The sequence below is a fragment of the Homo sapiens genome, chromosome 3, assembly GCF_000001405.40.
Source record: "Homo sapiens chromosome 3, GRCh38.p14 Primary Assembly".
Lineage (NCBI taxonomy): Eukaryota > Metazoa > Chordata > Mammalia > Primates > Hominidae > Homo > Homo sapiens.
The window spans coordinates 41968707-41978512 of record NC_000003.12 but is presented as its reverse complement, the minus strand read 5'-3'; the positions used below and the strand labels follow the sequence as shown (position 1 = coordinate 41978512).

General features: G+C 41.1%; 1 pseudogene; it reads right to left on the bottom strand.

Moving 5' to 3' along the window:
* Positions 1 to 349: 349 nt before the first annotated feature.
* GEMIN2P2 (gem nuclear organelle associated protein 2 pseudogene 2) lies at positions 350 to 1485 on the bottom strand (annotated as a pseudogene).
* Positions 1486 to 9806: the final 8321 nt, after the last annotated feature.

Genomic DNA, 9806 nt, shown 5'->3' with positions numbered 1-9806 from the left:
TTTTTTTTAATGCTTGATTAATTTTATTGCTGTGAATGCATTTGTTATTTACTCTACATTATTTTAATTCTGATGCTAAGGCCATCCATTGTCTTTTGTTAAGAGTCAAACAAAATTTTAGTAACCAAAACATATTTTCAATAAAATTTTATATGTACATATGTAGATAAACAACAAAACAGTACCAATAACCTATGTAAGATTTCATCATACAATTTCTATGCAAGCTGCTTGATTACAGAAAACTGTTCAAACTGTTCATCAAAAACTGGGGGGTGATTTTTCATTGATATTTCAGACATTCAATCAATACAACCTATATTCTGAGTATCAACCTGAACAGCACAGGTTAAGATGTGAACTCCTGACATCGTGTTGAAGTTGTGTTGCAATCTGTACTTGAATTGGCATTGCATTTCCTCAGAGTTAAGGTGCCTTCGTGAGAAATATCTTCTATTCCTGAGAGATCACTACATAAAGATGGCTCATCAACTAAATCACATTGGTCAAAATACCTGCTAAGCAAGCAAAGTAATAAATTCAAAGCAGGAACCTTCTCATCATCTTTGCTCTCCCCTAAGAGCCTCACTTCAGAACACCTTGCAAGCTGCCGAATCAATGAATGAGCCTGAGGTAATAAAGGCTTTTCCAGACAAGTCAATAAAGCATAAAGCATCTTCCTTGTGCAGAATCTACTCCGGGACTTTCAACTGTGGCTGATCCAACAGCCCCGTCAGCACATAACTTTTCACCCAGAGAAAATTTCTTCCAGCCTTCTTCATCTTCAGATTCTGGCATAGTCACATTACTATCCAACTGTTGTGATTTCCAGTGACTTCTATGTTTGTTCACATTCTGTCGAACAGTTGAAAACAGTGCCACTTGTTGCTGTTGCCACCGAAGTGTTGGGGAATAACCTTCAGTGGCTGGTTGGCATCCTGAAAGAAAAATATTAACACTTTGCTTCCTTTTCAACTTCCTTTTTTTTTTTTTTTGAGACGGAGTTTGGCTCTTGTTGCCCAGGCTGGAGTGCAATGGCACAATCTCAGCTCACTGCAACCTCCACCTCCCAGGTTCAAGCAATTGTCCTGCCTCAGCCTCCCGAGAAGCTGGGATTACAGGTGCACACCACCATGGCAGGCTAATTTTTTGTATTTTTAGTAGAGATGGGGTTTCACCACGTTGGCCAGGCTGGTCTCGAACTCCTGACCTCGTGATCTGCCCACCTCGGCCTCCCAAAGTGCTGGGATTACAGGCATGAGCCACTGCTCCCGGCCTTGCTTTTCAATTCTTTGGGTCAATTTGTGCTACCACAACATCTGGACATTGAGCTGCTTGGATCTGGACCCACCTCAGGCATTCCTGAGGGGTCCTCAGGGGTACTGAGGGATCAAAACCTTCCATCAAGTTGCAGAGCTCTACCGGCAATAGCCAAGGCATCAACTCTTCCATTGCAGACTCCGCTGGTATCCAAACCATGGTTTTCAAACCACCCGATCCTATCTTTTTGATCACTGATTTAGATTCAGGCTAATATAGTGTCCAACACATAGTAGATCCTCAATATATATTTGTTGAATAAAGGGATGGAGAATACATAGGAATCCTTACATTCTACTTTTAATTTTTTCTTTCTTTTTTTTTTTTTAAGACAGACTCTGGCTCTGTTGCTCAGGCCAGAGTGCAGTTGCACGATCTCAGTTCATTGCAACCTCCACCTCCTGGGTTCAAGCGATTCTCTTGCCTCAGCCTCCTAAGTAGCTGGGATTATAGGCATGCGCCACCACGCCCGGCTAATTTTTGTATTTTTAGTAGAGCCTGGGTTTCACCAAGCTGACAACGCTGGTCTTGAATTGCTGACCTCAGGTGATCTGCCCAAAGTGCTGGGATTACAAGTGTGAGCCACTGTGCCCGGCCAGATTCTGCTTTTAAATTGATGTGGATTCCAGAGAGTACTGATGGAAGACTTTTTCTCTAATCATAACCTGATTTTCTCCACCCATAGCCAGGCCATTAGAGCAGCCCAGTGCCTCAGTTATTCAACTCTAAATGACTCCTCATTACACACACTACACTGTCTTGTCTTAACCATTTCCCCCTTTTATGTCTTCATTATCATCTCTGTCCCCTCATTCTCTGCGGATAATTTTTCTTCCTTCTTTGTTATAAAAATTTAAAACAAAATTATTAAGAACCATCTCCAACTAGTGCAAAAATAGAGCTCCATGGAGCAAAATTAATAAGCTAGAAACAGACCTTAATGCATATATCAAAAAGTCGGTCTATAATGAGGAAGGCATCACAAGTTTCTGAGGAAAGGGAGAATTTTAGTGCTGGGATAATTGGCTAAGTATTCTAAGGGGTAATAAAATTATGTCCTAATTTCCCAATGTTCACCAAAATAAATTCCAGATGGATTAAATAATCTTATGTAAAAATTGAAAGAATAAAAGTAGAAAAATAAGCAAATATCTACTCTCCAAATGAAAAATGCCATTCTAAGCTTAATAATTTTTTTTTTTTTTTTTAGACAGTGTCTTGCTGTGTTGCCCAGGCTGGAGTGCAGTGGCGCAATCTCAGCTCACTGCAACCTCTGTCTCCCGGGCTCAAGGAATCCTCCTGCCTCAGCCTGTTGAGTAACTGGACTATAGGCTTGCACCAACACACCCGGGTTTTTCTTTGTATTTTTGGTAGAGATGGGCTTTTGCTATATTGCCCAGGCTGGTCTCGAACTCCTGAGCTCAAGCGATCTGCCCACTTCAGCCTCTCAAAGTGCTGGGATTAGAGGCGCAAGCCACTGTGCCTGACCAATAATAATGTTTTTAAAGCCACAGAGGAAATGTTAAACTGTTGGCACCACCCTATCACATAGGAATTTATCCTCAGACAAAAAACCTGACATGCTTGCCAAGATTGATGTATAAGAATGTTCTTTTCAGTGTTAACTCTGTACCAGGAAAGAGGAAAGGAAACTAGCTTTTATTCTGGACAAGGAGAGAGCACCTCTCCCTTGTCCTATTGGAGATTGTTCAGGGAGGCTGACCTAATAGTTTGGCCTGAATTTGTAAGAGAAAACTTTAAATTATAATAATCTGCAAATTCTTTGAATTGCTGAAGGTAAATATCAGGGATGGGAGACATTTGTTTAGGAAAACTCTTTAATGATGTTTGCAGATAACAGATTAGGTCAGTTTCATCTAGAGGGAAGTGATTAATAGAGATTTCAAATGCTGCCCCAGACTACATAATAGGACTTATAAATAATTTTTCCCTGAAGACAAGGAAGAAAGAGGGGGAAGTCCAAGACTGGGTAGAAGAGGTGAGAAGGGAAAATAGAAAGAGCTTCAGGCAGAGCCCTAGGTTACCTGTGAGTGTGAGGCATCACGCTTACATGTATATATATGTGTATACCTATATACATATACAAATGTATATGCAAACAGTTCTTTTAAAAGAACTATTGAAGAAAATCAGAATATATGTATTCATATGTGTATAATGCATATATGTGTATATATATGTACACATTTACATATCTGTAATGTATAGGTATATACACATATATACACATGTATACATTATAGATATTTTATATATTACATGTGTATATACACACATATAATTGTATACACACATATATAATTTTAAAATAAGCATTTAAATCATATGATGTACAGGCCGAGTGTGGTGGCTCACACCTGTAATCCCAGCATTTTGGGAGACCAAGGCAGGCAGATCACTTGAGGTCAGCAGTTGGAGACAAGCCTGACTAACATGGTAAAACTCCGTATCTACTAAAAAATACAAAAATTAGCCAGGTGTGGGTGGTGCGTGCTTGTAGTCCCAACTACTTGGGAGACTGCAGCAGGAGAATCACTTGAACCCGGGAGGTGGAGGTTGCAGTGACCCGAGATCATATCACTTCCTAGAAGTGGAATTGCTGGATTGAATGGGGATGTGCATTTGCCATTTTCATGAATACTGCCAAATTGCTCTCCCATCAGCACTGTGCAAGTGCCTGCTTTCTACTACCCTTACCATCACCATGTTTAATACTCAATTTTAAGTTGTTTTCTTTCTATGCTGCAACTTCTCTCTGTTATTGCCACACATTCAGTAAAAGTATGTGTCACAGAGTAACATGGGCTTTGGGGAATGAAGAAGGAGAAGGAAAGTACTTTTAAAGGTGCTGTTGAAGAAGATCAGAACATGCCATCCCAAAACATGCCACTTAGACATATCGACTATTTTGAACTGAAGGCAACTGAGAGACAGCTGATTTCAGGGTCATGCTTGTTAATACTTGGATGAGAGAAACAGCAGATGCAGGAAGTGTTCCCTAACCTCCTCTTTCTACCTAAAAGGAGGGCATAAATTTCCTGCCAGAAAGTTACCCTCTCTGCACCAGGAAAAAGAGAACATTCTTATCAATGGTGGTGGGGAATTGACACCAACATGAATCTGTTGAAACAAACCTTACTAAAATAATACATCTGGCTGGGTGCAGTGGCTCATACCTGTAATCCCAACACTTTAGGAGGCTGAGATGGGTTGATCACTTGAGGCTAGGAGTTCAGGACCACCCTGGTCAACATGCGGAAACCCTATCTCTACCAAAAATACAGAAATTATTCAGGTGTGGTGGCACACATGTGTAGGCCCAGCTACTCGAGAAGCTGAGGCAGGAGAATTGCTTGAACCCGGGAGGCAGAGGTTGCAGGGAGCTCAGATTATGCCACTGCACTCCAGCCTGTGTGACAGAGTGAGACTGCCCCTTAGCTCAAATCTCTTTTTCCATTGCCTCTTCATGTTTCTACATTTTATTGCTCTTTGTTAAAATGATATATAAGCCCCTGGGTCTAGTCATTTATTTGAGTCTTCCTTTCTTTTCTACGAAGGCCTCCATGTGCACATAAAATTTAGAATATTATCAAACAAAATTTGTATGCTTTTCTCCTGTTAATCTGTCTTTGGTCAGTGAAAGTCACAGGTCTCAGTCACAGAACTTATAAGAATAGAGGAAAAAAAGGTCCCCTTCTACACTGTCAAATGTGTGAGGGGAAGCAGGGTCAGATGAGACTAGCATGTGCTAGAGATAAGATGATGAGAAGGAAGCAAGACTTAAGGAATTTGTTGTGAGAAAAGACCAAAAAATATTATTTCCCTGAAAATCCAGTCTACTCTGGAGTTGCCAAGTATGTGCAATGGATGCTGGAATCATTAATATGGTTATTAAAGGAAAAAGACATCCCAGAAGGCCACAGATTTTAAGGACTCTTAGGTTGTTATTATAAGGGTGAAAATCTCCCATCCAAGAGGGAGACGGTGTCTGGCTCTTCCAGTGTATTCACTAATACACTAGTGCTGGAAGAATTATCGTGCTACTTCCCAGGTCTTCCAGAGTAAACGGGAGCATCAGTCTTGAAGCTCCCAGCCTCCAGTTTCTGTCTTTAGGAGAATCCATTCCCTGAGTTGGTAATCTGAGAGTGGAGCACGCTATATCCTAAAGAGGACTGGAGACCCCATGACATCATAGCCAGCTTTACAACCTGGAAGAGCACCATGGAAACCATCTCCTGCCTTCTAAATTTATGCCCCTGGCTAGTGGATTTTTGCCTTCTATTTCATTAATTTCTGCTTTTATCTTTGGTAATGCTTTTCTTCCGTTTCCACTGTGATCATTTTTGTTGTTATTTTTCTTTTTCTCTTTTTCTTTTTTTTTGTTTTTGTTTGTTTGTTTGTTTGTTTTTGAGATGGAGTCTCACTCTGTTGCCTAGGCTGGAGTGCAGTGGCATTATCTCGGCTCACTGCAACCTCCGCCTCCTAGGTTCAAGTGATTCTCTTGCCTCAGCCTCCAGAGTAGCTGGGATCACAGGCACCTGCAACCACACCTAGCTAATTTTTATATTTTTAGTAGAGAGATGGTTTCAGCATGTTGGCCAGGCTGGTCTCCAACTCCTGACCTCAAGTGATCTGCCGCCTCAGCCTTCCAAAGTGTTGGGATTACAGGCATGAGCGACCGCGTCCAGCCTTGTTGTTATTTTTCTAAGCTCACTGTCTTGAAACTAAATCCAATATGTAATTGGCAAATTCATAACCATAATGAGCAACTTCAAAACACCTTTCTCAGGAACTGACAGAGTAAGTAGGACAATGCCACATAAAAAGAGGGTTTAGAAGATTTGTACATGTCAGTTAATAAGCTTGAAAATATGCATATGATATTTGGAACTCAACAAATAAGAAATACTTCTTCTTTCCAAACTCTTGTGGTACATTAAAAAAAATAGTAGCCATTCGTTAGACCACAAAGAGAATTTCAGTAAATTCCAAAACCCAAATAACATATAGGCTAATAACAAAATCTATTTGACTGCTAATTAAAAAAAAAAAAGACTTTTAAATGTCTTGATCAAAAATAAAACGTGGCCGGGTGTGGTGGCTCATGCCTGTAATCCCAGCACTTTGGGAGGCCAAGGCGGGCAGATAGCGAGGTCAGGAGTTTGAGACCAGCCTGGCCAAGGTGGTGAAACCCCGTCTCTACTAAAAATACAAAAATTAGCTGGGTGTGGTGGTGGGCGCTTGTAATCCCAGCTACTTGGGAGGCTGAGGCAGGAGAATCACTTGAACCTGGGAGGCGGAGGTTGCGGTAAGCCGAGATTGTGCTATTGCACTTCCGCCTGGGCAACAAGAGTGAAACTTCATCTAAAATAAAATAAAATAAAATAAAATGAAATGCAAGCTCTGGTAAACAAGAATTTGGTAAAAAGTAAAATAAAAATATGCAAACTATGGGTACCATGCCTTTTCACTTGCTTTTGGTGATATTAATTATAATTGTTAAAGTTTTTCACTTGCTTTCTTCATTGATTTTTTAGTTATCTGAGTTACTGGTTTGCTTATTTTAATGGCTTTCATGTTAGAGTCTTTCCTCACATATCTTGATATTTCTCTCTTTTTTTATTTTTTCTTGAGACGGAGTTTCACTCTTGTTGCCCAGGCTGGAGTGCAATGGGGCGATCTCGGCTCACTGCAACCTCTGCCTTCTGGGTTCAAGCGATTCTCCTGCCTCAGCCTCCTGAGTAGCTGGGATTACAGGCATACGCCATCATTCCTGGCTAATTTTGCATTTTTAGTAGAGACAGGGTTTCACCATGCTGGCCAGGCTGGTCTTGAACTCTCGACCTCAGGTGATCTGCCTGCCTTGGCCTCCCAAAGTGCTGGGATTACAGACATGAGCTACCATGCCCAGCCACATATCTTGATATTTCTGACTATGTGTTCACATATATAATAGTAAGGCACTAAAAGGCTCATTCAGTGTTTGCTGCACATTTGGGGGGTTTATTGATTGGTAAACTTCATTTTATGATGATGAGGTAGTGAATTTTTTTTTAAATGACTTCTAGAAGCATAGTTTGTTTTTTTTGTTTGCTTGTTTGTTTTTTTGAGACGGAGTTTCGCTCTTGTTGCCCAGGCCGGAGTGCAATGGCGCGATCTCGGCTCACCGCAAACTCTGCCTCTCGGGTTCAAGCGATTCTCCTGCCTCAGCCTCCCAAGTAGCTGGGATTATGGGCATGTGCCACCACACCTGGCTAATTTTGTATTTTTTGTAGAGACGGGGTTTCTCCATGTTGGTCAGGCTGGTCTTGAACTCCCGACCTCAGGTGATCAGCCCGCCTTTGCCTCCCAAAGTGCTGGGATTACACGCATGAGCCACTGTGCCCAGTCCTGTTTTTTTTGTTTGTTTGTTTTTGTTTTATTTTTAAATTAGGAAACGTGGCTGGATGCTGTGGAGGCTCAAGCCTGTAATCCCAGCACTTTGGGAGGCCTAGGCGGGTGAATCACTTGAGCTCATGAATTCAAGAACAGACTGGGCAACATGGCAAAAACCCATCTCTCCAAAAAATACAAAAATTAGCTGGGCATCGTGGCATACACCGGTAGTCCCAGCTATTTGGGACACTGAGATGGAAGGATCACTTGAGCACAGTAGGCAGAGGTTGCAGCCAGCTGAGATCACGCCATGCACTCCAGCCTGGTCGACAGAGCCAGACCTTGTCTCAAAAAAACAAAACAAAACAAAACAAAAAATAGGAAATATTCTCTTTTGCCAGATGTCAGTATTTCTTGTACAAGTCTCTTTCTCACTAAATAATATTACAATTTTTAATTGAAGATTAGAAGACTAATTGCCATTATGTTTGCAGGAAAGGGGGCTAAGGAAAGGCTCTGTGGTTCAAAAGGCAGATTTTCACTCATTCTCCACTGTCCCAAGCCTTTTGTTCATATTGTTTAGAAAGTATTTCCATGTTTTACCTTGAAGGCAAATGTTACTACATGGAGAAACTTGCCTTGGGTGATGAGGTCTGCTGGTATTAAAGGTGGAATTCTTTTCATCCATTAACAAGATGAGGATAAATGCTCCAGGACTAACATGTTAGTGGCTGAGTTGCAGTTGCTGTGAATCCTCTGTCTAAAGTCAAGTGCTTTTTCTGTGTTCCAAAAAATGCTTAAGAACTTCCACCTAATGATGGTTCCCTTGCTTGTTCTTAAGTGCCCTTATGGTTTCAATCCCAATTCAGTCATTTTAGTGAGCTTTTAGGAGTCTTTGTGGTAAATTCACGTGTTCAGTTCTTCACCTTGAATCTTAAGTCTACACATTATTTCGTGAGGACAATTGTAGCCTTTCCCAAGTGTCTTATTTTTGTTCCCTTCTAAGTAGAGGTGGAGAGTCTGTCTTAGGGGCCACCCTGAGCACCTGTGAAGTCCTTTAGAGCCTTCAAAATAAGTATTCTTTGTTCTAACTGCTCTCCAGTATTCAAGTGGATTTTCTTAATTTGTTTTCCTTTTCCCTCATTTATTTTTTCTATAATGAAATAATGTCATTTGCAGCCACATGGATGGAACTGGAGGCCATTATTTTGTGTGAAATAAGCCAGGCACAAAAACACAAATAATTCATGCTCTCACTTATATGTGGAAGCTAAAAACATTGATCACATGGAGGGACGAATTGAAAAGATAAACTACAGAGAATGGGAAAGGTGAGTGGGAGGAGAGGGGATAATGAAGTAAAGTGTGTTAAATTGTACAAAAATATAATAAGATAGAAGGAAGAAATTCAATGTTTAATAGCAGAGTAGGGTGATAATACTTAACAAAAAGATATGGAACTTGAGTGATGGACACCCTAAATACCCTGACTTGATCACTATGAATTATATATGTGTAACAAAATTTCACACTTACCCCATGAATTTGTAGAAATAAAATAATTTAAAACTAAACATGAGAAAACATTTTTTTCTCCTTTTTAGGTGCCTTTAGAACTTGAGGGTAAAGCATACTTCAGATAATAAACATTTTTGGGTGTGGTGGCTCACGCCTGTAATCCTAGCATTTTGGGAGTCCGAGACGGTAGGATTGCTTGAGACCAGGTTGGGCAACATAGTGAGACCCCAGGCACCATCTACACACACATACACAATTAGCCGGGCATGGTGGTGTGCATCTGGAGTCCTAGCTACTAGGGAGGCTGACATGGGAGAATCTCTTGAGCCCAGGAGTCTGAGGCTACAGTAAGCTATTATCATGCCACTGCACTGTAGCCTAGGCAACAGAAGGAGGCCCTGTCTCTAAAAAAGAAATTTAGGCCAGGCACAGTGGCTCATGCCTGTAATGCCAACATTTTGGGAGGCCGAGGCAGGCGGTTCACCTGAGGTCAGGAGTCCAGCCTAGTCAACATGGTGAAACCCCGTCTCTACTAAAAAATACAAAAATTAGCTGGGTGTGGTGGCAGACAG